Raw genomic sequence first — 27,316 nt, 5'->3', positions numbered from 1 at the left:
TGCAGGAAGACATAGGATCTAGCCAGCATAAATGCCACTCGACAAATGGTAGATATGCCAGAGGCGTTTGAACCAGAGCAACTCCATCTTGAGTAGCGGCTGGAAAAAATGAGGCTGGGACCTACTGGGCTACATTCTGAGATGGTTAGGCGTTCTAAGTCACAGGATGAGATAGAAGGTTGGCACAAGATACAGGTCATAAAGATTCTGCTGATAAAACAGTTTGCAATAAAGAAGCTGGCTAAATCCCACCAAAACCAAGGTGGCGATGAGAGTGACCTCTGGTCATCCTCACTGCTACCTTCCCACCAGCGCCATGACAGTTTACAAATGTCATGGCAATGTCAGGAAGTTACCCTATATGATCTAAAAAGAGGAGGCATAAATAATCCTCCCCATGCTTAGCATATGATCAAGAAATAACCATAAAATTGGGCAACCAGCAGCCCTCAGGGCTGCTCTGTCTATGGAGTAGCCATTCTTTATTCCTTTACTTTCTTAATAAACTTGCTTTCACTTTACTGTATGAATTTGCCTTGAGTTCTTTCTTGTGCTAGATCCAAAAACCCTCTCTTGGGGTCTGGATCGAGACCGTTTCCCATAACAGATAGGTAACAAGTTCAGCAATGTACACACAAACAAAATTTCATCAAGGCTGGAAATGCTTCTTCCTCTTTAGTTTCTGTCACAATGGCTGTTCAGCCAAACTACAGGGGAGGGGGCAGGCAGGAGAGGGGCATGGAGCAGAGGTTCAAGCAGATCCCCATCATATAGATGCTTTCCTCCAGGCTGCTCCAGAGCCCAGACTCCTTGAATCAGTCATTCTGAATTTACCCTTCTTTTCTAGCTGACACTGGTGAAATGAGGAAAGAGCTGGGCAGGATATTTTATTATGAGGCATATGAGGGAGTGAAGAAAATACCAGACACTGGCCAGAATGGGCAAGATGTCTTGCAGGATAGGCGTTATCTTGAACTGGAGACTGGGAGATGCCTGGGTGGTAGTCAGAAACTAGGTGGTCCCGGACAACTGCTAGAGACCTGCCCATTCAATGCCCAGTAGATATTCTAAACAAGCAAAATTTCTTGCATTTCTGGAAAGGGTGTTGGCTTTTATTTAAATTCAGTTTAGTTCAACAGCATTCTTTCCCCCATCTCGTGTTGAGGGTTGCCTGTCCTTGAGGAAAATGAGGGTTGCCTTTGGTGCCTTTAGTTGGTAAATCAAAGACATGGGGGATTTCATTTCCTCAGCTCCAGGCATGAGAGGTGTCTGTGCCTGCGCATGGAAGAGCCAATGCAGCCGGACTGTGCTCATTTCTGCTGCAGACAGATGGCTCTGCACATCCCCTCATGGACACTGGGCTCTCTATCCGGCCAGGATCACAGAAAATAAAACCAAACATTATTTGCTTGCAGATTAAAAATAAAAATAAAAGGAGCGGGATTAGGCCTCAAATGTGTTTCCTTCACTAGTAGGGTTCTTTTCTTTGCTTTTAACTCAGGTGAAATGGCCATGCTGTCATTATAAAACTGTGAGAGAGTGAGAAACACAAAGAAAATAAAGATTTCTAGTGAAATACGTATTACAGAGGCTTTTTCCCCCTGTAGCTGTGTGGTAAAAACTGGAAAACTTTTTACAATTTTCTCGAATTATAACTCTGAGTAAGTTCACTCAACCCATTCAACCCATTCAAAACTGCACCCCTCACTGTGACCCCACATTCCAGCTTGGTCCCAGACCGTATCAGCTGTAGGTGTTCCAGTTCCCACAGTCAAACCGTCTGACTTTGTGGAGGGCTCAGTGGCACAAATTCGCTCTGCACTGTCCGGCTTTCTTCGCTATGTATTGAATGAAAGAACAGCTGACAGAAGACAGTTTGTGTCTCCTCTGAGGTCTCTTCACTCCCCAGTGAGTTTGAAGAGAACCTACAGAGAAACTGGGTCAGGTACTACAAAAGTCCTGCAAAGGTTTACCATCCGGAGGTGGAGAACAAATACATGTTTTCACCATTTCTGCATTTTTGCCCATCAGTTTACTGCACCCTCCTCAAGCAGATCAGGCCATTGTTGGAGTGAGCACTGATTAGAATACCAAAGCCTAGAGCTAAGCTTTTTGCTAAAAGAGATGCTGACTTGTAGACTTCGCAGGATTGAGAGGCCCAAGTCTCTGGAGCTAGATGAGCTTGTTTGATTTAGTGGCAGCACCAATCTGATCCTTTAAATTGTTTCCTAGCACAATGTAACCAGCACTTTTGAAAGTCAGTCTGACTGTAATTTGCTACTAATTGTAGTTTAAAATGAGCTACCCTGGGCCCAGCTGATAGCAAAGCATAAATTCAAGTGGCTGCTCTCAGGACGTCCTTGGATTAAGGTGAGCTTTAGTATGCTCACTACCTGGGCTTCTGGAAATTGGATAATTTCTATACCTATCATACGTATCACCCCTACTCATCAGATTAAGTTAAGCCCCTAGATGATGGAAAAGAGAAGAATTGCTCTGGGTGGCATTTAAATTTTAGCAAAAATCAGTGTCATTGTGACTAACTGTGCATGCTTTTTTTTTTTTTTTTTTTTTTTGGTTACATGAGTGTGTTCTTTAGTGGTGATTTCTGAGATTTTGGTGCACCCTTCATCCATGTATACACTGCACCATATTTGTAGTCTTTCATCCCTTGTCCCCCTCCTACTCTTCCCCCAAAGTCCCCAAAGTCCACTGTATCATTCTTATGCCTTTGCGTCCTCATAGCTTAGCTCCCACATACCAGTGAGAACACACGAAGTTTGGTTTTCCATTCCTGAGTTATGTCATTTAGAATAATAGTCTCCAATCTCATCCAGGTCACTGTGCAGTTTGCTTCTATTATGCCTTTCTCTGGCTACCCAACTTCTGAGATTTTTCCTGCTCTTTCCTTAGGTCATTTACCCCTTAGGGCCATATCCACAAAATGTTGTCCATAGACCACTTTAGGCCTTTGCAAAAATGCAGACCCCTAGACCCTAATCTTACTCTAGTAAATCATAACTTGGCTGTGGGGTAGGAGGCAGTTCCAGGAATCACCATGTAAAATGAGATCCCCGAGGATTCTGATGTACATCCACCTTTGAGAACCACTGCCTCATAGGGAGATTAGAATGATTCATCCTTGCGTTATTTTTAAGTAAAAAAATTGAGCACTTTAAAGTAAAAAAATTAATTGCAGTGAAATGGAAACCAAGAGGAGAATGTGGATTGGAGAGCTAGGATAAACTCCTTCGTTGTTCTCCAAGCTCTACCACTGCCCATACTACCATCCCTCCCACGCTGGGTATCACAATCTCAGACTGACCAGGTTGGATTCAGGGCTGCTATCAAGATCACACAGCACATTTTGGGGTACTCCATAATTTGACTTTGGTCTCCTCCTTTTCTCTCTCATGCACTCCAGTCTGGTCAGTGGCTCTGTTCTGCTCACTTAAGCCATGCTCATGCCAGGCTTTGTGTCTTTGCTCACCCTATCCCCTCCCTTCCACATAGAAAGTCTTGCCTCTGACCCTGACATATTCTAAGCCTACCGTCTTTCCTGTTTAAATCTTAATCCCGTGTAAACCTTTTCCATTCATTTCAGAACACCTTCATCACTCCATTCTCTGAAACTTTACTTCCCCTAGAGTAAGTCTTAATTTAAAAAAAAAAAATTAGCATTTAATTATGACATTTGTGTAAGTTTCATTTTGCCAGCTAGATTTTGAAGTTCTCTGGCCAAAGAGACAGACTTTTTAATATTTCCCTCAGTTTCTAGCACTGAGCACAAAGTAAGTAAATGGTGTGAATCTAATACTTCCTTTTAAAATTATTGATCGATGGAATGCCTCCCTGCCTGACCAGAAGATTATGTGGTAATTTCAGCCACCTCTATCATGTATGACCTCAGTCAATGGCAACAGTTGAAAGTCAGTGTCTTTCAGAAGACACTGAAAATTGGCACAAAAAATGTGCACAGAGGACAGCACTCCACTGGTCATTATTTATTAAGCTTCAACTGTATGCCAGGCACTTGGTTAGATGTCGAGAATAGAGTGGTAAGTAAAACACCCTCGCAGCTCTCATGGGATTCCTGCCCTCCTGGTAGAGATAGAGCGTATTCAGGTGATCATAAAAGTTAATATAAGTTTGCAACATGATACACATTAGAAAAAAAGGATATCAGGCCAGGCGTGGTGGCTCACACCTGTAATCCCAGCACTTTGGGAGGCTGAGGTGGGCAAATCATAAGGTCAGGAGTTCGAGACCAGCCTGGCCAACATGGTGAAATGCCATCTCTACTTAAAATACAAAAAATTAGCTGGGCATGGTGGTGGGCGCCTGTAATCCCAGCTACTCGGGAGGCTGAGGCAGGAGAATCGCTTGAACATGGGAGGCAGAGGTTGCAGTGAGACGAGATCGCGCCACTGCACTCCAGCCTGAGTAATAGTGCAATGAGACTCCATTTCAAAAAAAAAAAAGAAAAAGAAAAAAAGGATATTGTCAGGCCTCTGAGCCCAAGCTAAGCCATCATATCCCCTGTGACCTGTACGTACACATCCAGATGGCCGGTTCCCACCTTAACTGATGACATTGCACCACAAAAGACATGAAAATAGCCTGTTCCTGCCTTAACTGATGACATTATCTTGTCTAATTCCTTCTCCTGGCTCATCCTGGCTCAAAAGCTCCCCTACTGAGCACCTTGTGACCCCCACACCTGCCCGCCAGAGAACAACCCCCCTTTGACTGTAATTTTCCTTTACCTACCCAAATCTTATAAAACGGTCCCACCCCTATCTCCCTTTTCAGACTCAGCCAGCCTGCACCCAGGTGAAATAAACAGCCTTGTTGCTCACACAAAGCCTGTTTGGTGGTCTCTTCACACGGATGTGCGTGAAAGATATCATGTGGGCTCTGAAAGCAAGAAACAGGAGGACCTGTTTCCCTGGGGTTTGAAGGAAGAGAATTGCGCTGGAAACAGAACTTGGAGCCTCCAGGTTAAGACTGCAAACCTCCTTCCCTCTGGCTACTCCCATCTCCCATTCTCTAAAATTAGAGTTGCATGACCTTTCCTTTAGGGGTCCCCAAACTATTAAAGAGCTGCTTAAATCCATGTGGCTGAATTGTGACTGCCAGGTGATCAATCTAATTTATACCAAAATTGGCCAAATCCCTTGGACTTTCTGGCAATAAAATGGATATGATAATAGAGCCTTGCTAAATCCACACTGTGAAGACGAAGTGGCCCCCAATCAGTAGAGATTTAGCTCCAAATTATTTCTTTTTTTTTTTTTTTTTTTTTTTTTTGAGAAGGAGTCTCGCTCTGTCGCCCAGGCCGGACTGCGGACTGCAGTGGCGCAATCTCGGCTCACTGCAAGCTCCGCTTCCCGGGTTCACGCCATTCTCCTGCCTCAGCCTCCCGAGTAGCTGAGACTACAGGCGCCCGCCACCGCGCCCGGCTAATTTTTTGTATTTTTAGTAGAGACGGGGTTTCACCTTGTTAGCCAGGATGGTCTCGATCTCCTGACCTCACGATCCACCCGCCTCGGCCTCCCAAAGTGCTGGGATTACAGGCGTGAGCCACCGCGCCCGGCCCAAATTATTTCTTTGTTAAGAAAGCCCCGCCACCCCCCAAAAAAATAAAGGAATGAAGGGAAAGGAGTGTGTGTGTGTAAGCAAGAAAGCAGTTATCCCTGTTCCAGTGGGTTCTTAATAAAACTCAATTACACATTTCAATTGCTCTCTTGTGACTTTCTGTGGGTTACAAGAAAAGAATATATATATATATATATTGAGATGGAGTCTCGCTCTGTGGCCCAGGCTGGAGTGCAGTGGCGCGATCTCGGCTCTCTGCAAGCTCCGCCTCCTGGGTTCACGCCATTCTCCTGCCTCAGCCACCCCAGTAGCTGGGACTACAGGCGCCCGCCACCACGCCCGGCTAATTTTTTTTTTTTTGTATTTTTAGTAGAGACGAGGTTTCACCGTGTTAGCCAGGATGGTCTCGATCTCCTGATCTCGTGATCCGTCCACCTCGGCCTCCCAAAGTACTGGGATTACAGGCGTGAGCCACCGCGCCCGGGCAACAAAGGAATACTTTAAGGGGTTCCAAAAGAATCCTCTTTGGAAAATTGGCCACCTATCAACTGACAGAGGGTATTGTTTATTCCTGAATAGCTTTGTCAGCTACAAGCAAATTTAACAACAAGATAGTTACTCTGAAAACGCAGTGTGTAGAAAATGCAATAACATATGGAGACAGAGATGTGTTTTTATTACTTTTCTTTTCTGTCGCTTACAGTAAGTGTGCCACATGTGTCTGTTGAGAGTGTGTGGGAAGGTATGGAAGAGTGGTGAGGAGATTCCAGAGACGCTGGCCACTTAATATAGCCCTATTCAGTCAGATAGCTTCTATTATGCAAACTCACACATTGAAGACATTTTCTGTCAACCTTTAAAACATGGGATTCAAAACAGCATTGTCACAAGACCCAGAAGATTTAAATAGATAATGCACCTGATTGTATTTAACAAAAAACAAAACACCTTCAGTGGGTAAAACTATGAATGCCTTTGCATTAAATCTGATCTGCTTTGAATAGCCATTTAATTATTAATCAAACCATAAAAGCAAAAGATACCTGTTTTTACAAATAAATACTTTCTGTATGTCTCTCATCTCCATGTATTTACATATTCTGAACACATTTAGAAGACAGTTTGATAATAAAATGTACTTACATTTTGCTTCTATGTTGCAGGCAGCCTTCTAATGTCTTTGTACATCTGTGACTCATTTTCTACTTGCAACAACCCTAGGAGGAAGGCAGAAGCTTTACTTCCATTCACAGTTGAGGAAACTGAAGCCCAGAGAGGTTAAGTAACTTGCCCAAGGTCACAGAAATGATCACAGGGAAAGACATGATTTGAATCCAGGCTTATGCAAGTGCGTGAAGCCTCTTGACTTCTCTTCCATATTCCCTCTCTAAGACTTATGAAGAGGGATGGCTGGTAGTAATTGTAATTGACTTTGAGTAGGTCAAAAAATACATAATGTTTCCCTAGGCTTTCCATGGGCTAATTTTTAAAACTGTTGTTTAGCTAGATAGTTAATGATGCAATAGTCCAAGTTAACTTACAGCAAACTAAATGTCATAAATAAATCACAGACCACTAATTTGTACAACCTAAGCCAGAATTTGCAATGAAAGCAAGAGGGAGAAAATGTTTGAGAAAACCATCTTCAGACGAAAAAGCAATAAGTTAAAATTAACTCCCTGAGGTAAAGACTCTACTCTTTGCAATTTACCCAAGTGCTTGTAGGTGACTTACAATTCCCAGCCTTCGCTCAGATCTGAGTTTAAAAGTGCTTCTTTTAGCAGCTCTTGCAGGATAAATTATGACTTCAAAGCAGAAATGTCTCCATTCACAAAATGGGTCGCTGACAAGAGCTCTAGGGTGCAAAGAAACTATAACGAGCAAGGAAATATGGCAACAAGAAAAATGAATTTGTACCCTCGGTTCTGCCTCCTCTTACCTGTTTCACAATGTGTTATAGCGAGCCTCATTCTGCCTCTCATCACAGTGGGAGGAGTATGAGAAGGGGAGCTACTCAGTTAAACTGGATGGGCCCGGGCTTCAGAGAATTACACTGGAAATGGCAGAGGAACCTTCAGCTTCTTCTGAAGGCCTGCCAGCTTTTGCAGTGAGAGCTGCCATGCTGAGGCCCTGTCATGGCAGTTGACCAAGACTTGAAGTCCTTGCTCGGGGCTGGAAGTCTGGGCCCAGGACGACATGGAAATGCCCTAACATGGCTTCCTGTGAACTCCCCCTGAAACAGGAGATTCCAGGGCAGCTGGGAATCCATGGAGGCCTGTGTCAGGCCTCTGAGCCCAAGCTAAGCCATCATATCCCCTGTGACCTCCGGATGGCCTGACATAACTGAAGAATCACGAAAGAAGTGATATTTAAGTGGCCTGTTCCTGCCTTAACTGATGACATGCCGCCACAGAAGAAGTGAAAATGGCCGGTCCTTGCCTTAACTGATGACATTACCTTGTGAAATTCCTTCTCCTGGCTCATCCTGGCTCAAAAAGCTCCCCCACTGAGCACCTTGTGACCGCCCCCCCGCCACCCCACTGCTGCCCGCCAGAGAACACCCCCGTTTGACTGTAATTTTCCTTTACCTACTCAAATCTTATAAAACAGCCTCACCTCTATCTCCCTTCGCTGACTCTCTTTTCGGACTCAGCCCGCCTGCACCCAGGTGAAATAAACAGCCTTGTTGTTCACACAAAGCTTGTTTGGTGGTCTCTTCACACAGACGCACGTGAAAGCCTGCAGCTACTTTTTGCTGTCTGAGTTGTCCATCTCCACCTCCACGTGGGGTTTTTGTCTACAAAGCCAGCGTTGACACTTTCAAATTGCACATACGGAAGTGACTTTAGAAATGCCAGTGTTTCAGTCTAAGGATGAAGGAAGACACTGTTTCATGCCGCAGGGAAGCCATCTGCGTGCTTGGAGGCAGGAGCCTGGGGCATATGGGGATACAGGTGATGGAGCAGAGCACCAGCAGCATGAAGCACCCAAGAGGGCAATATTCGCGTGTGAAGGGAGTGGGCCTATATCACAAGGTACATGGAGATGGCAGGAAGGCACAACCTACCCCCAAGCAGGTGGTGAGGGAACCTGGGAGCCACAGCCAACCAGGAAGGATTAGGTGATGCCATTGCTCCACAGGCTTAGCTCTGCTCTCCTCAACTCAGCAGGAGTCCTTTGCCAGTAAACCATGGAGTTGGTGGAAGGACCCGTGCTGCGGTGGCTCTCTGGGCTTTGCCTCAGTGCCCAGCCTGGCACTGAAGCTCTCTTTGAGGACCTGAATACACCTAGGACTCAGACCTCTTGGCTGAGGCCCTGATGTCTTATCTGGACATCCTCCCAGGAGCCTAAACTCTTTCTCCTACCATTATTCCCAAGAAAGAAAACTTGTATATGGTGGCGGGGATAGAGAGGGAAGGATGTTGGGTGCCAGAGCTCTGTTTCTTGACTTCTTGATTCAGAGAAAATCTGCGAATGTTCCCAAGAAATTATGTCCCACCTGTTGGTGCTACTGATAAAATGAATAATTAACTCCAGACCAGGCTTTATGCCAAATGCTTTAGCTAATCCTCACATCCTGCCTGTGAGGGAGGTAATTTTTGTAGACGAGGAAATGAGGTCCAAAGTAGTCACGACTTACCCAAGGGCCTACAATGGGAAGAGGGGAAGAGCCAACAATCAAAGCTTGACAGTTTGCTCGCATGTTGTATATTGTATTTCTTTTTCTTTTTTCTTTTTTTGAGACTGAGTCTCCCTCTGTTGCCCAGGCTGGAGTGCAATGGCACAAACCTAGGCTCACTGCAACCTCTGCCTCCCAGGTTCAAGCAATTCTCCTGCCTCAGCCTCCCAAGTAGCTGGGATTACAGGCATGCTCCACCACGCCCGGCTAATTTTTCTATTTTTAGTAGAGACAGGGTTGCGCCATGTTGCCAGGCTGATCTTGAACTCCTGACCTCAGGTGATCTGCCTGCCTCGGCCTCCCAAAGTGCTGGGATTACAGGGGTGAGCCACCGCGCCTGGCCGTATATTGTATTTCTTCCAAGACTTGCTGAGTATTTTCTGCACACCTTGCAGAGCTTCCTCCTGCTTCTCTTCAGCAGAGGTCCAGCCTTGAGGAAGGTGTCACTGGGCGAGGTGGTGAAAGAATGTGATCTGATTCATGAGTTAGTACTACACAGCAGCTGGTGTGATGGGAAAACCCCCTCTCTTATAAAAGGAAGCAAAGAATTTCTCACCCGTAGTTAAAATTTCTCTTCCCACCACCCCACCTCCCTCTACTTTTGTGGTAAAATAGAGAACGGAACAAAGTCAGCACTCCAACTCTTCCTGCTATCTTGATTCAGCCAGGAAAGCATAGTAAACAGACCCAGACCTCCCAGGAACAGAGTATTGACGAGAAGAGTGGACAGAGTTAGCTGGGAACCCAGTGGGAAAAAGATTTGGATGCATCAAGAGAAATTAAAAATCAAAACAAAAGTGAGTTCTTTTGTTGTTGCTAATAGAAACAGTATCAAGATACAGATGGAAGACACCATATGGGAAAAAAATAAATAAGAAAAGCAAAGAAAGAGGGAAAATTTTAGCAACTACATCTCTTTCTCTAGTGAAATGACAACCCACTGGGTATCAGGAGAGCTGAGGGGCTGGCCTCTGCTGTGCTTCTAACAGGCTATGTGACACTGGCCAAGACACTGCCCATTTCTGGCCCTCAGTTCCAGGTTTTGTTCTGGCCACAATCAAAAGAAACCCATTCAACCAATTAATCAACCCAGTGGCACTCGCCTATTGTAAATTGTTCCTACACCTTTATGCCCATAATATACACAAAAGAAAAAGGGTAGGAAGAAAACTGTAATACCAACTCACCCGATTTCTTATGAGAAGATTGTTTCATTTCAATATCTTTATGAAATACTTTAAAAGCCATATTTATATATTCACACACACATACATACACACACATATACACATACAAATGCTTTCTCTGTAGGTTTTTAAAAATTTTGTTTGGACTGATGTTCAAAACACAATAGAGTAGGTGGATATACTATGAAATTCACATGCACTGTTTCAGTTTTGCCATCATTAAACTGTCATCAGGCAGGATACAAACAGAGCTGACCAAGCATGTGGGCTTGTAGAAAATAATGCATATTTCACTTCCAGGAGGAGCTCAAGTCGTTTCCTGCAGATGAAACAATAACTTGAGGACTTTTCTTACCCTTTTTCCTCTTTCTGGAAGTTAGTAAATAACATAAGCCCAGTCATAAAATCTGAGATTATGTTTTCAGAATACTTTCTCTCTTAGCTAATGAGACTATCGCCTACATTTTAAAATGTTAAATACACTCAGTGTAAAGGAGACAAACGTAATTGTGTCATCTCGTACCAAAATTTGTCTTCTATAGTTACAGGGAATGGTGAAAGTTCTCTGAACATTCTGTTGTAAATTTTTGATAGAAGTAGAAAACTTAAACATGGTAGCTACGTGTGGAGGAAAGAGCCGGAGAGATTGTGTCCACACTTTCCACCCTCATCTATAGGATGTTAAGTGGAGAAACACGAAGAGTCTCTTGTAACCTTTGCAATGACATGCTCTTTATCTAATGCACTCAGTTACTTAACTAGTCTGCCAATATAAATCTTTAAGAAAACTGTGTGTAAAGTCAGCAGGGGGTCCACGTCCTGATGTTATGTTTTTTCCTACTGCTGAATAAATGATTTCCTCCTCCACCACCACACTCATACGTGTGTCCTCATTAGTATGTATGAACTGAGTGGAATAAGCATTGGGAGATTTACAGTGTACTGCATTCAACTTAATTAATAAGAAAGGGAGCCCATTTCTAGGGGAGGGAGTCAATGTTCACAGGTTCCTACATTCTGCTGTTTAATTAACAAGCCCGTCATACAGAAAAGACTTTAACAGTGCCCTCCTCATTTTCTCTACCTGTCACAACTATTAACTAAACCTTTCAGTGACCTTCAGATGTTAAGGTGCCCTGATCTTTAGCTAGCACCTCCAATGTAATTATGACCTTAATGTTCTTACCCAACACTCAAGTCGGTCATTCAATGAATATCAAAAGAGGGTCAACCATTGGCCCGGCAGTATGGTAGATGCAGAGGACACAAAAGTGAACTAGGTACAACCTGATTTTCAAGTAAATTTCAGTTAAGTAGAGGAGACAGGATATTTTAAAAAGTCAAGAAATAGGGAGATTTCTGAAGTAGGGGGCTGTATGCGCACATTTCTAAGACAGCCTCAAGAGATGGCAATGGGAGAGTGGGGCATAGAAGGAAGGCAGTCAGAGAAGGTGTCACAGGGAGCTGGTATCTGCACAACGACTTAAAGGACAAGTGCCCACCTCCCTACAAGACTGAGGCAGGTTCATCAGTGGGTACCCAGCACCCAGCGCAGAGCAAGTGCTCAATGCAATTTCCTGAATTGAGTTTGCCAAGCATGGAAGGGTGTGACAGCATTTCGGGGGGTGGGGTGGGTGCAGTACACGGGCAAGGGCCAAATGGTCTTAGTGTGTTCTGAGAATCACAAGTAATTTGTTATAATGGAGAATATGGTTTGAGCGAGGAAGTGATGGATGAGGGGGCTGGCAAGGGATTATAAAAAACTAAGCTGATAAAATTGGGTAAAATAAATGGCCATCTTCCAAGAATTTTTACTTAACAAAAACCTAGAAGCATAGCAGTGCTCATGTTAACTTCACACAAAAACAAGCATAATATGAGAAGTGCCTGGATAATCATCTGGTATTGTTCCTTGACTTGTTTGCATAGAAAAAAAAAAATAACAGAGCCAGGTGTCTCAACAATAAAGTATATTTCTTTCAGTTTGGAATGGCGAAAAAGCTCTGGAGATAAATAGTGGTGCTGGTTGCACAACAATGCCAGTGTACTTAATGTCACTGAATTGTACACTTAAAATGATTAAAATAGCAAAGTGTATGTTATGTGTATTTTACTATAATAAAGAAAAGTATTTCTTGAGTGCCTATCATGCTCAAGACACATAGACTTACCTAAGAGAATGTTCGTAATGATTGATGTCAAGCTCACTGGCTTTAGTTCGTTATTTTTTATTGGGATGTAAGTACAGGCACACAGGTCATTAAGTATACATCTCGATGAATTTTAATATCTGCACCAATCACTACCTGGATCAAGATGTAGAACATTTCCAGCAGGCTCCCGCCTGCCCCTTCCCAATAACAAACTTCCCACAAAGGTAACTGCAATTTTGATTTCCATTTGAAAAAAAATTTTTTTTAAATATGTGTTTATCCTCACTTTTTCTTGACTTTATGCAGAACAATCTTCTGACAGTTGTTGACATTGCTGTGTATTTTGTTTTGTTTTGTTTTGTTTTTACTGTGTAACAAACTGGCCACAAACTTAGTGACTTAACACAACACAAATTCATTATCTATTGATCCTGTCGGGTTAGCAGTCCAGGCATGGGTTAGCTGGGGTCTCTGCTCAAGACTTTGCCAGGCTAAAATCAAGTAGCAGGTTAGGGCTGCTAGCTCACCTGAGAGGAAGAGCCCTCTTCCAAGCTCGCCAGTTGTTGGTAGAATTCATTTCCTTGCAGCTATATTCCTGAGGTTCCAGTTTTCTTGCTGGCTGTCAGTCAGGCCTCCCAGATGCCACCTTCTCATGCTGAACCATGGTCCCCTCCTCTACCAACTGGGCAGCTTACTTCCTCACGGTCAGTAGAGGATGGCCTCTGCTGCTGCTTGTCTCTGTATTAGCTCAGGCCCACCCAAGGCAATATCTCTTTTGATTAACTCAAACTCAACTTATTTTGGACCTGAATTACATCCACAAAATCCCTTTTGTCATATAACATAACATAGTGACAGGAGCAATATCCCACGGTATTCACAGTGCCGCCCACACTCAATAGGAGAGGATTATACAAGGTGTGTTCCTTATATACAAGGTACACTGTGGGGAGGAATCTTGGGATCTTGGGGCTATCTCAGAATCCTGCCTATCACAGTTGCTTTCAGTTATTTCACCTGACCACAAATGCAATGAGATAATAATTTTATTATTTAGGACATTCATCATTGAAAATTTAGAAAATGCGGATAAAAGAAAAGTAAAATAAAAATTAATATACTATTTACTATTATAACCAGATATAATTAGCATTTTAATGAATTTACTTCCAGGTTTTTCCTAAGCATTATAAATATACATATGTAGGTATTTCTAGAAAGAAGACGATGCTATACAGACTAATATTAGGTAACCATTTAAGTGGAATTTTCAGTCTGGTTATTCATTGTGTTATGGGAGAACTATTTTTATCTTTTGGTTTTGAACCTATTATAGAGTGGCCCTGTGCTTATCTATACAATATGCTACAATATATAGGTATATATGTACAATGTTAAATTTTGCTAAACTAGAATTTAACAATATGTAAACATCAGCAAAATATCCAAAAAGCCCCCTTTCCGTGTAGTAAACATGGAGAATATATGGTCCAGGAAGAACCTCCTCAGCTTAAGAGATGGCACAACTAAGCTTTTATTGGCTAGCAGGAGGTGCAATTAACAAGTAGAACAGTGATGTATATCCTAACTCATTGTTACTAATGATTTTTCTCTTTTTAAATCTGTAGTGGTAATTAGAACACTCACAAATACTCCATTTTTCCTTCTCAAAGCATATGTTAAGATTGCTTTTCCTTGTCCCCACATGGCATGGCCTATGTGACTTATCTTGGTCATGAAATGAGAACAAAAATGATATGTCATTCCAGGGCAAAAACATAAAGAATGAGTTTGTGATTGGTGATGTCACCTTCGCTCAGCTCTGTGACCCTGTGAGCTGCTTTGAGATGGTGTTTCCGCCAGCTGGGTGCCTGGGTGGTCTTGATTAGCAGAGCATCCCCTCCGCTATAAGTTCACATTGAGTGAAAAACAAAATGTTGCTGTGGCAAGCCCCGAAGAGTTGTTTCTTGTTGCAGCATAACTAGCCAAACCTATCTAATGCAAAAACTAAAGTTTGAAAACAACCTTTCTCTTTTTATAAATTAGAGCTGATTCAAATTCATACCTATAAAAAAATTTGTCTCTTATTTACTTACATTTGAATGGAAGGGAATGGGTAAAGAAAACATGAACGTCCTGAGAATGCATGCAGGGGCCTTGTCCTCAGGGTGAACATCTTCCTTCATGTGAGACCTGGTGGGAACAGATCGACAACAGCAGAACAGCAGATTATCATACTGGGGCTGGTAGGCCAGAGGCCGAAGCACCTGTTCACCTTGACATATACTATTCACTGCTAGTTCATCAAATTAGCTAGAAACTAAAATTGAATGTATCTAAACATATGTTCAAGCTGTTCAAATCTAATTCCACTAAAATCCACTTTTAAAAGCAGGGCACCATATAGAATTACTTTTAAAATATATGAATAGGCCTTTGTGTGCACTTTACTCTTTATAGTCATTTCCACTATGAATTTGCCAAGTGAGTCTTTTGACTCAATGCTGTGGCCAGTTACAATTCCGTGTGTTCAAGACATGTATGGGTCATGATATTTGCTGTTAATACAAAACAAAACAAATAAGCAAACAAAAATAGAAACAGTCCTGTGTTGAGTATGATGAGGTGAAATCAGATTTTTAGCAGAGGTGAAATCAGATTTTTAGCAGAGAGCAGAAGAATGATTTTAGTCAGGTGGCATGGTTATTAGAATTGATATTGAAATGGCCTCCTGATATGGTTTGGATCTGTGTCCCCACCCAAATCTCATGTGGAATTGTAGTCTCTAGTGTTGGAAGTGGGGCCTGGTTGGAAGTGATTGTATCATGGGGGTGATTTTCTTTCTTTCTTTCTTTCTTTTTTTGAAATGGAGTCTCACTCTGTCACCCAGACTGGAGTGCAGTGGCGCGATCTTGGCTCACAGCAACCTCCACCTCCTGGGTTCAAACAATTCTCCTGCCTCATCCTCCCAAGTAGCTGGGATTACAGGTGCCTTCCACCATGCCCAGGTAATTTCTGTATTTTTTAAGTAGAGACAGGGTTTCATCATGTTGGCCTGGTTGGTCTCAACCTCCTGACCTCAAGTGATCCGTCTACCTCAGCCAAAGTGCTGGAATTACAGGCATGAGCCACTGCACCCAGCCAAGGGATGGTTTTCTTATGAATGGTTTAGCACCATCCTCTTGGTGCTGTTCTCATCATAGTGAATGAGTTCTCATGAGATCTGGCTATTTAGCGTGTAGCACTTTCCTCCTTGCTCTCTTGCTCCTACTCTGGTCATGTGATGTGCATGCTCCCGCTTTGCTTTCCCCATGATTGTAAGCTTCCTGAGGCTTCCCCAGAAGCTGAGCAGATGCCAGCATCATGCTTCTTGTACAGCCTGTAGAACCATGAGCCAGTTAAACCTCTTTTCTGTATAAATTACCCAGTTTCAAGTTTTTTTTTTATAGTAATGCAAGAATGAACTAATACACCACCATAGGGTCCACTCCCCCTTCTTTGGATACTTGTCCTGGTTTTTTTTTTGGGTAGCCACACCTCCCATGAGTCCTTGCCCATTGAAGGAGACTGATTGTCCCCTGTTCCCACTGAGGGTGGGGTATGTAGTTCAGGCATAACCTACTCAGTGTGCTCCCCTCCCCTGGCTACAGTGATTGCTTCAAGCGTGGATGACACAATATGTGGGCCAATAAGACTGGAGAAGAAATTTTCTGTAACCTCTGAGAAGTATCCTTTCTCTTTTCTGAAAGCTTCTGGAAATGGGCATCTCTCTGGTTCTCTCCAAGGACATATGTAAGAGCAAGTATCTTGAGAAAATGTCAGCAGTCAAATTACCACTGTGAGGTAAGGCTAAGTCATATTACCACCTAGGTAAGGCTAGCCTCAGAGGCAATCTGCCATTGTGGTAGGCAGAGGAAAAATGGAAAGAAACCTCAATGACATTGTTGAGTCACTGAATTTTACAATCCAGAGTTTTTTCTTACTTGTAGACTTCTAGATATATAGACCACTATATGTGCTTTTATTTTATATTGAAGCTACTTTTTGTTGGGCTTCTGATTCCTTATATCTAACATGCTTAAACTAACATAACTAAAGACTGACTGGAAATACAGTTGCATAAAGACCTGGATGGAATGCAAAAATCAGAATGCAGTTGTCCATTTCAAAGCAATGGCTTTAAGCAGGACATGATTCCAAGTGTCCTAAAATGACAGGTTATATGAAGTCATTTGCAGTTCCAATTATGTTGAACAGAATGGTAAATGGTAAAATTTTAGATGTGTTTTTTTCAGAGGTTTTGTTGGGTAAAGAGGTGTAATCAGGAAGGGAATGGCAGACAAAAAGGAGAGAACAAAGATTTGATGATAATAATAGCTAATGCTACATTACATTTGCCATGTGTCCAGCAGTGTTCAAGGCAGAGGACGTATTTTCTCATTTGCTCTTCCTAATAGTCTTGCAATACGAGTATATTTATCCCCACTTGTTTACAAAGAAGAAAACAGAGGGACCAGAGGTGCCCATGCCATAGGACCCACAGCTAATAAGACCTGCAATTCAAGCCACAAGGTCTGGCTACAGTGCTGGCACCACTACCCTCTGCTGCTTTTGCCATTTGGGTCCTTTAAGGCTGATGTAGAAGTATCCATCTACTGATACTGAATGTTCCCTGAGTATGCTTTGTTTGTAGCATCCTTTAAAATCCACCAGAAATACCCAGGATTCATCTGGATGAAACAAGGTGTTCAGACAGGGATGTACCTGACAGAACCCACATAGGCATTGTTTGTGAATGAATTAATTATGCCAAGGAATTAGGTAAGCAGAGGGGGTTCTTCTGCCAGTTGCTTGCTCAGACTTCACCTCCACCTACTTACCTGGTGATTTCATTGAGAGCCAAAGTTCCCTTTTGTAAACAGATTCTACATTTCTTCCTCATGCCTTTCTACAGAAAAGGATGTTATATTAGGATGAAAAAAGCATCTATTTAAAAAAAAGGATGCCTTTTTGCTAAAATTGTAACAATGTTGGTTAAACCTAATGCAGCTGTAAAATTAAAGAAAACAAAACATAAAAGAATGCCTTAAAAATTCTGGTGGCAGAAATGGAAGTTCTCATCATTTTCATTGAAAATGCAAAGACTGAGCTCTACGAGTTAATGGAGAAAGTCTTTATTAAGCTCCTTCTGCATTGCCAACAATGTTGTGTATAAGATAAAGTAGGAAATAAAAAAAACGCATACAGATGGTTACTATTTTTAAATACTCATTTATTTTACTTCTTCTCTGTATCTCATCTTTTCTTCCCTTTCCAGTAAATCTCTCCCACCTCACCCCCATTCTAGCACAAGATCAGATCCCTACTCAATTGGAAGAGACACAGGAAAGAGTGGGAAACAGGGCAAACCACAAGCTTTTGTGTCTTTGTTTTATAAAAGCCTAAACCCTTGGGGAAAGAGATTCTCTATTCACATTCTAAAGAAACAGGAATGGAGAAGTTCCTCCAAACTCCAGTTCCCTGGGCTTGGGGAAGGGTGGAAGAGGCGGAGGTCTGGGACCAGTTTCAAGAGCAGAGAGGAATTGTGTCCCGCATTAAGCAGCCCACTAGGAAGCCTGCCAGCCTGGAGAGGGATGGCTACATTGTGCACATTGACAGAAATATAAGCAGCCTTCACAAAGATTCCTGGGCTCACAGCATGACATGGGAACAGCAGAAGATCATTAAAACTGAGGACAGAGATGACAAGCTCTCAGGCCTACCCTGTGTGCCGTAACAGAGGACCCAGTGTCTCCAACCTCCTCACCACTTGGCTCTGTGGAAGATGCCAGAACAGCCCCAGGGGAGAGGTTAGATTATCCCAAGACAAGCTAAAATTTAGTGGTGTTTTGCTTGTTGGCTTGTTTTTTCACAGGCCCCACAGAATGGGAAAATCATAATCAGATCTTAGGTTGAGATACAAAAAGCAAAAGATGAAGCATTGTTTGCAGATCAGAGTTTGGCATGTGGATCTCATGGCTGCTGCAGGAGAATGCAGCAATCCTGCCGTAAGAGTTTAGAATCTTCTGGCCTACAGAATACAGAGGGAAAGCAAATCTGAGAACATCCCAAACAGAAAGTAGCTGAATAATAGAACCTGTGGTAGAAAGAGATAAGATCCTGAGCTGGGAACCCAGTGAAACTCTCTGGAGAAGGTAGAATGTGGCATGGCACCTCGGCAGAGGGTGTGAAAGTACAGATGCACAGGGGAAGAAGCAGGGCTCTCCAAACATGGACAGCGTGAGCAAGGACTCAGAGATGGGCGTGTGCATATGTATTCAAGAGTGAGGATAAGAAGGAAATGCATTCGATGGACTGAACTGAGGGAATAGTAAACAACTAGATAAATAAAGCTGGACCACCCTTAGAGGGTCTTGAGTGCCTGGCTCAGACATTTATATGGACACCATAAACAGGACCCCAGTGGAGAGCCTCAAACTGGACTGTGAAATGATTTTTAAAACAGCATTCTAAGGTTAACATAAAGTCACTATGATAGATTATTGATAGCTTGTGAAATTCGAACTAAGCTTAGTATAGGGGAGGCCATTTTAGTATCTAGGAAAAAAGGGAGGTGAAGGCCTGCATTAGGGATAGATGGAGAAGGAAATGTGTACAGGAAATAGTGGAAGAAAATGTTTTGAAGAATGGAATTCACTTTGGCAAGTTGGAATTATGACTTTAGCATGCTGTTTAGCTGAGCTCACAATCAGCTGATCACACTGGGGATGACAGTTTATTTAAGTAATATTACAGGCAAAAATGTACAATATATTTCAGTTTGCTATTTTAAGCTGCTGTTCACCTTAGCCCCTTTGAAAATACGTTGTCTTGACTAGGTTGAGAAAGAATTACAGAAGTAAAGAGGAAACAAGTGTTTGCAATGTCACAATATTTTCATTTTTATAATGTTTGGTGCTAGTGCTGTTTATGTCTTCTGATACTTTGACACATTGTTGCATGAAGCAACTATGAGGACAAACATGTCTAATTTCAGGAACAAAGTCACCTTAGAGTGACTGAATCTATTAGCCCTAGGTAACTAAGAGAGAACTTATGAAGAAACAAACAAGATTTGTGCAAAAACTACCTCTAGAACATAAAATACATTCAAAACGTAGGCAGGAAATTGCCTCAGCAGCTTAGCAGAGTCTTTGGATTGAAAGTCCTCGCTTCAAATCCCAACCCTGACACTTGATAAATGTGGCCTTGGACAAGTTACTTAAAAGACTAGCCCTAGGACCTTGGTGCAAATTAGAGACAGGTACCCCTTTGTGCAGATGAAGTCCAAGGAGACTGGAGGGATCATTTTTGACTCAATCCCTTGAATGGGCACCCATGCACAGTATGCAATCCACATAACTGGATACAGTGGCTCTGTTACTTGAAATCTGCATTTTCATTTCTTCTTTGTATATTGAAGAAAATAACAGTATCTGTCTGACGGGGCTATTTTGAGGACATAATTGCTATAGAACATGTAGAGTGTTTAGTATAGTCCTGGCACATTTTAAACATGTTACAAATGTTTACTATTATTATTGCATTATTATTATTTATCTAAATCTCTCATGTTTTAGGGTAGAGGTTGGCAAAGTGTGACTCACATGCCAAATGCTGCCTACTGCCTGTTTTTGCATAGTGCAAGAGCTAAGAGTCATTTTTATATTTTAAATGGTTGGACAAAAATCTAAAGAAGGCTATCTTGTGATGCATGAAAGTTCTATGAAATGCAAATGTTATTGTCCATAAGTAAAGTTTTATTGGCACACAGCTATGCTCATTCATGTATGTATTGTCTGGGGCTGCTTTCATGGGATAGTGGCAGAGTTGAGAGGTAGTGTCAGAGATGAGATGGCCCATAAAGCCCAAAACATTTTCTATTTGGCTTTTTATGGAAAGCACTTGAAGACCCCTGTTTTAGTGTGTTTTTTTGTTTTGTTTTCTCACTAGTTTCAGAGTATGTTCTTCAATCTTTTCCAAATTAAAATGATTTTTAAAATACTTGAACACTAGTGAAGATCAAGCTGTTGAAAGACAAGCATTCTTATCCTTTCCAAGTATTTTGCAATATCTTTCAAAACACTGTCACCTCTTTTCAGGGTGATGACAATGTGCCTAACATTAAGTCTCCTTCTAATATACAGAGATAGTGGTGGCATAGCACTGCACCAGAGCCCAAGCAAAAGCATGCTTGAAGAATCTGCCGTAAAGTGTAACTATACGTTAAACAGGTTCAGAGTTGGACTCCTATTTTGTGTGGACAGCCACCAGGCAAAGTTTGGCTTTCTAATAATGTCAACATGTATAAACACAAAACAACAAGTTCAGTTGATCATTGAGATGTTTTAACTATTTGATGCCAAAAATCCAGATATTTGGAAACATCTGGATAACGGATTACATTTTTCACTTTTCATCTAGATTTGGCATTCAGCTTATTTCAGCTAATAAGAACAGGCAAACATTAGCCATGTTCTAAATATTAACATGTGAGAAAACACTCTCCCTTTCACCTTTCTAAGATAAACTTGCTGCTTCTGTTTCTTCCTATTCAGTACATTGACGGTTTTCTTCTATTTTATCCTCTATTTCTCACCTCTTTTCTTTCCTATGTTTTTCTTCTTAACTTTCTCTAGTTCCTCTAGCACAATCTTAACTGTCAAAACTTCTTAAGAGTGTCTTCTTTTCAATCCCTTTTATCCAAGGAAGAAAAATGATTTGCTTTACAATAATTGAAATTCTTAATTAAAACCCAATGTTCAAGGCTTTATAAGGCATAAATGGCTTCTTAATTGCTGGGAGCCTGCTTTGTGTACAATTTACCACACCACGTCCATGGCAGAATTCAAGGGAAAGGTCACAGAGAGACAGCTTTATTTATCTAGTCATTTTTTTATTAATTTCAATTGATTTTTAACAATCTGTTTGATGTTACAATTGTATGTAAAAACCCTGTGATATAATGCAGACTTCTCTGGACCACTTATTTACAGTTATGGCAGTTATGCTTTTCCTTGACTTGGGCTATTTCAGGAGGCATGGTTATGGTCCACACTGGGCTACAGTCTTGTGCTGTAATAACATGGACCTTGCCAAGATAAATGCAATCATCTCTCCTTGCTCCCCTAAATTCTTGATGGATGCTCTGCCTTTATGAAGTCTTGCTGTGAACACAGCATTTAATCTGTGATGCTCTTGTCAGGTTGTCTTTTGCACATTCCCAGGGAGGGCTCTTTCTTCTCCAAACAAAACTGTAGGTTTAGCTATAGCCCCAGATCCTATAAACAAGAATAGCAGCTGCAAAACTGTGAATTTTATTGTCTTTGGTCCTAAGCTGCTGACTTCATGCTTAAAAAAAAAAAGAGCTTCAAAAAGAAAATAGAAAGTATCTTGATTTTAAAACAATTATTGTATGATCTCCAGAGGTAGGGAGCTATGTTATGTTCATACAAACATTTAGTTTCCCATTTAGTTAAAGATCACTACAAACACACCATTTTCCTAAAATCCTTTATAATTAAAGAGAAAAAAGTTATGCTTATAACATTAAATTCATCAGTTTAATTTTAGTGCCAGCCAAGATCATGGAAATACTTAATACAAAAATCCTTGAAGAATGTAAGTAGTGATGATAAAATAACAACCAGTATGGTTGTATGACTGGAAAATCATGCCAGACCAATTTAATTTGCAGGTAAAATTACATTACCAAGTATGCCATTACAAAAATATTATAAAGATATTTCTGGATAGCTAACTTATCTTAATATCTTGGGGGATAGAAAGGGATGACAGTAATTTTTAATTAGATTAATTATATATAAGAAGCTATTTTATAGACTACATGCTTCCTCAGGTCTGTGCCAGAAAGCTTATATTCCCAACATTTAGATATCTTTTTGTTCTTTGCTGATGTTGGAAAAAATAAAAATAAAGAAAAAGAGCCAAGATCATCTCAGCTCCTCTACTAAAGTATGTATTAAGAAGTTATCACTTTCCACTCTACTTCCCACCTGACATTCTTAACACCCAGCCAGACCCGTCAACACAGGATTTCAGCCCCTCAGAGGAGGGAGAGGAGGGAGGGCAGAGGACTCTCATGACATCTCACTCTTCCTTTCTGGTTTAGGACACATCGCCCTCTTCACTGAGTGACTCACCAAAGAGCCTGGGAAGCAGTTCAATATGCTCCTAAACCCTTTGCTAAGAAAGGAATTTCTACCAGTTCATTGAGTTCTATAAATATATGAGATCATGCCTGTCCGCTCTAAGAATCTTCCAGTAAGCTTCCTATTCCACTCAGAATGAAATCCCCAATTGCATTTTAGGAGGACCTGCAAAGCCCACATCTGCAGCCCCAGCTTTCCTCTGGGACCCCAGACCCTCCCCTTTCCCATCCCCATTCCCCACTCTGTACCAGCCACATGGGCCTTTTCTCTGCTTGGCACTTCATATGTGCCAAAGGACTTCTACACTTGCTCTTTCCTGGAAGAGCCTCCCACCAGGTCCTCCAGTGGCTCACTCAGGTCATGTAGGTCTCTGCTGTAAGGTGAAACCCTCAAAGAGACCTTCCCTGATCACCCCATAGGAAGGAGACTAGCAGCCCTGATAGATGTCCACATCCTAATCCCCGAAACTTGTGAATATGTTACCTTACATGGCAAAAGAGGCCTTGCAGGTATGATTAAGAATATTGAGATGGGAAGATTGTCCTGTATAATTGGGATGGGCCTAACATAATCATAAGGGTCCTCATGAGAGGGTGAGAGTAAGTGAGAGATTTGAAGATGCTAGGCTGCTGACTCTGAAGACAGAGAAAGGGCACTGAGCCAAAGAATACAGGTGACTTCTAGAAGCTGAAAAAAGCGGGGAAACAGTTTTTCCCCTAGAGCCCCCAGAAAGAATGTAGTCTTGCTGACATTTTTATTTTAGCCCAGTGAGACCCATTTTGAACTTTTGACTTCCAGAACAGTAGGATAATAAATTTGCATTATTTTAAGCCATCAAGTATATGGTAATTTCTTATGGCAGCAATAGGAAACTTAAAAATAACCTGCCTTCCCCAGTCTCCACCAGGCTACTTCTGACTCCAGCACTCTGCTTTATTTGTCTTCATAGCATTTCCCACTACTGGAAATTGCATTGCTTTCTCATCTGTTTGTCTGCTTGTCTATTGTTTGCAACAGGATTTACACTTCATGAGGATGGAGACTCTGCTTCGTTCATCTCTCATAGGTAAAAGTTACCCGGAGAGAGTAGACACTCAGTGGATCGTTGTTGAATGAATGACTGAAAACATACATAAATTAATACTTATTAAAACCAGACCCCACTGCAAGATAATTTGGGTGCTTGTGGAATTGAGTGTGTTCACGTATGTGTGAGTGTGTGTATAGGTATAGTAGTCATCGTGGAGTAAGAGAGGTAGTGGGTAATCATAGTGGTGGTAGCAATAGTAGTAGTAGCAGTAGCAGCAGTGGTGGGATTGTGGAATTTGACCTATTTCTGTGACGAAGCAATGGTCTAGGTTGATAATAATGAAAATACAATATTTCAAGAAGGCTTTTTATTAGATCCATATGAAAATGTCCTCTGTATATAAGTTCAGAATTGTTCTGAGCAATGTTACTGTTCAGACAACATCCTCAAGTGAAAGGTCCTACCCATAGGGTAATTACCAGTAGTTCAGTGTCCATACATGGATTGCATACCTTGACAAATCTCCCCAAATTATGTGACTGAAGAAGTCAATCTAGTTGTGATCAAAGCTGTAAAAAAAAAATCAACTCTCAGAAAAATTAAGGTCAATATTTAAACTCTTGATATGTAAACCAAAAGGTGGTTGCCATATGAAAAAGGAATAGAGAAAAGGAAATTTTAAAATTGATTTTAATTGGTACCAGAAATCGACCTTAAATGAGTTATAGGCCCAATTAGTAAAGTGGATCTGAGTTGACATTTCTGTTTCCAGTGTAACAGTATGTTTATTTAACTACATTCAGAGGTTCTGTGCACTTGGAAAATCATCATTTTCTTTAAACCATTAATGACCTTCAAAGAATAAAAAGATGAACTGTCTGTAACTTTCTTCAGCTGTGAACCATGTGACTGTCTGGCCACCTCACATGAATCCTAGTGAATCTAATTAAACAATCTGCTTCATTCACTCATTATTCCATGCTGTAGGCAATATGCTTAGAAATAAGGATTCCCGAGTAAAAGGTACAGGCCTTGCTTTTAAGAATCTCACAAATGAAACAGCCACTATAGTAATATGATGTGATACAGATCAACTGGACAGTGTGCCTGGCTTAGGAGTGGTGGGAAGCACAGTGAATGATCTAGTTTGTTTTGGAGGAAGCAGGAAGTAGGAGCTATCCAAGCAAGATGGGTAGGGGTGAGGGGATGGGGGGCTGCGGTGGGTATATATTCAGGAAAGGCTGGGAAGCATGGGAAACCCTAGCATTGTGGGAGACACCCAACAGCACCCTTCAACTTACTTTTTTGATTTTTTTTTTCTCAACACAACATCAACATTGTGTTCAAACTCTTCCACACATGTTATGTAGGTATCACTGTGTTCCAAGTCACTCAATTAAAATTTGTATTTAAAACTCAAAATAGATATTATTTGTGATGAGATCAAGCTGTAGACAGAGGAAGAGGGAAAAGAGGTGCATGGCTGGAAGCTTCTCAAAACCACCAATTAGACTAAGAGCTGGGCATTCTCAACTTCTCCTCAATGTTTCCAAATAAGAACTCCATCTATAATGACTTGTGATGACCTTTCTTCTGCCATCATCTAGTGTTTTATTCTCTAAATATCTTTTTTGTCTCTCTTCAGGATTTCTTTCCTCAAAATATCTAGCCACCACATGAGTATAAGACACTATGAAAATACACAGATCATTTCATTCTACTTTGAAAGACTCTCAGGTTGCAGACTCTATATAGAAAGAAAGGCCAGGCACTGTGGCTCACACCTGTAATCCCAGCACTTTGGGAGACCCAGGTAGGTGGATCACCAGAGGTCAGGAGTTCAAGACCAGCCTGGTCAGCATGGTGAAACCCCATCTCTATTAAAAACACAAAAATATTAGCCAGGCATGTTGGCACGCATCTGTAACTCCAGCTACTTGGGATGCGGAGGCAGGATAATCACTTGAACCCAGGAGGCAGAGGCTGCAGTGAACCAAGGTTGAGCCACTCCAGCCTGGCAGCCTGGGTGACAGAGAAAGACTCTGTCTTGGAGGTGAAAAACGGAAAGAAAGTTGAGGCAGGAGCCTGCTACAAGCCCTCAACTGCGGATCTTTTCTATTGATGTCAGATGCATTTCTTAGGCAGTGTACTCCATGCCAACCTTGAGCTGAATTAGCCACTTTAGCATGTTTGGAGTAGTGGTCTGAAGAGGATATCACACCATCTCTGTGGTTAGACAGCCATGGATTTAAATCCTGGTTCCGCCACCCCTTGTAGCTGTGTGATCTATGAAGGTAGTTAATTACCCTGAGGCTCAAATTTTCTATCTCTGAATCCAGTATACGCACACCTGCCTTTCAGCTTTGTGGTGAAAAGAAAGGACTGTAAATGTAAAGCACCCAAGTGGCAGAAAGAATATTCGTGGGATCTCCAGAAGCCCCTGGGATGAGTTTTAGTTAATGGATGGGGAGCCAAGGGATCCACGTCCCAGGTGGGTCAAGGAGTTTCCATGCTTCTTCCATCCCTCTCTTGCTAGGTTGCAGCTACCATGGAAGCTGTGTACGCACATGGCATAGCCATAAGATGAGGGAGGGCTGCCACCCACATAGGACTTAGCAAAAGCAAGAGACTTTGGAGCTTAGTTCCTACTGCAGCATAGTAGAAACCAGTGGTTCTCAATGTGTGGTCCCTGGGTCAGCAATATCACCATTACCTGGGAATTGGTTAGAAATGTAAATTCTCAAGCTCCAACCCTGACCTGTTGTCTTAGTCCATTTGTGTTGCTATAAAGGAATACCTGAGGCTGGGTAATTTATAAAGAAAACAGGTTTATTCAGCTCATCGTTCTTCAGACTGTACAAAAAGCATGGTACCAGCATCTGCTTCTGGTGAGGGCCTCAGGCTGCTTCCACTCATGGTGAAAGGCAGGATGAGCTGACCATACGGCAAGAGCAGGAATCAAGAGAGAGAGGAGGAGGAGCCAGGCTCTTTACAAGAACCAGTTCTCATGGGAACAGAGTGAGAACTCACTCCCTCAAGAATGACACCAAGCTATTCATAAAGGATTCACACCCATGACCCATAAACCTCCCCGCCAGGCCCCACCTCCAACAGTGGGGACCAAATTTTAACACGAAACTTTGTGGAGCCAACAAATCATGTCCAAACCATAGCACCTGCTAACTCAGAAAGTCTGAAGATGGGACCTGCAGTCTGTGTTTTAACAAAGCCCTCCTGAGAATTCTGGGGCACACTCAAGTTTGAGAACCACTTGTATCAACCATTCTGATTAACCAAATCCAGCACATAATAGTGTTCAAGAAATGCTAGTTATTATTATTTAGATAAACTACCTGTGACAAATTCGATACTGCAACTAAGTAAAAACACTCCAGGTTATATTCCTCACTACAGAATGTGTTGGTTATATTTTATAAATGGAGTCTGATCCCCAGTTA

At 41.9% G+C, this 27,316-nt stretch overlaps 1 long non-coding RNA gene across 1 annotated transcript in view; it reads right to left on the bottom strand.

Annotated features, from left to right (window-relative positions):
- Positions 1-12,709: 12,709 nt before the first annotated feature.
- Positions 12,710-27,316, bottom strand: part of SEMA6A-AS2 (SEMA6A antisense RNA 2) — a 36,783-nt gene continuing 22,176 nt past the window's right edge. Inside the window, exon 3 of the long non-coding RNA NR_147170.1 lies at positions 12,710-14,810. This is a non-coding gene — a long non-coding RNA (SEMA6A antisense RNA 2). The remainder of the gene's footprint in view (positions 14,811-27,316) is intronic.

The sequence above is a fragment of the Homo sapiens genome, chromosome 5 (assembly GCF_000001405.40).
Source record: "Homo sapiens chromosome 5, GRCh38.p14 Primary Assembly".
Lineage (NCBI taxonomy): Eukaryota > Metazoa > Chordata > Mammalia > Primates > Hominidae > Homo > Homo sapiens.
This window is presented reverse-complemented; position numbering and strand designations above follow the sequence as displayed.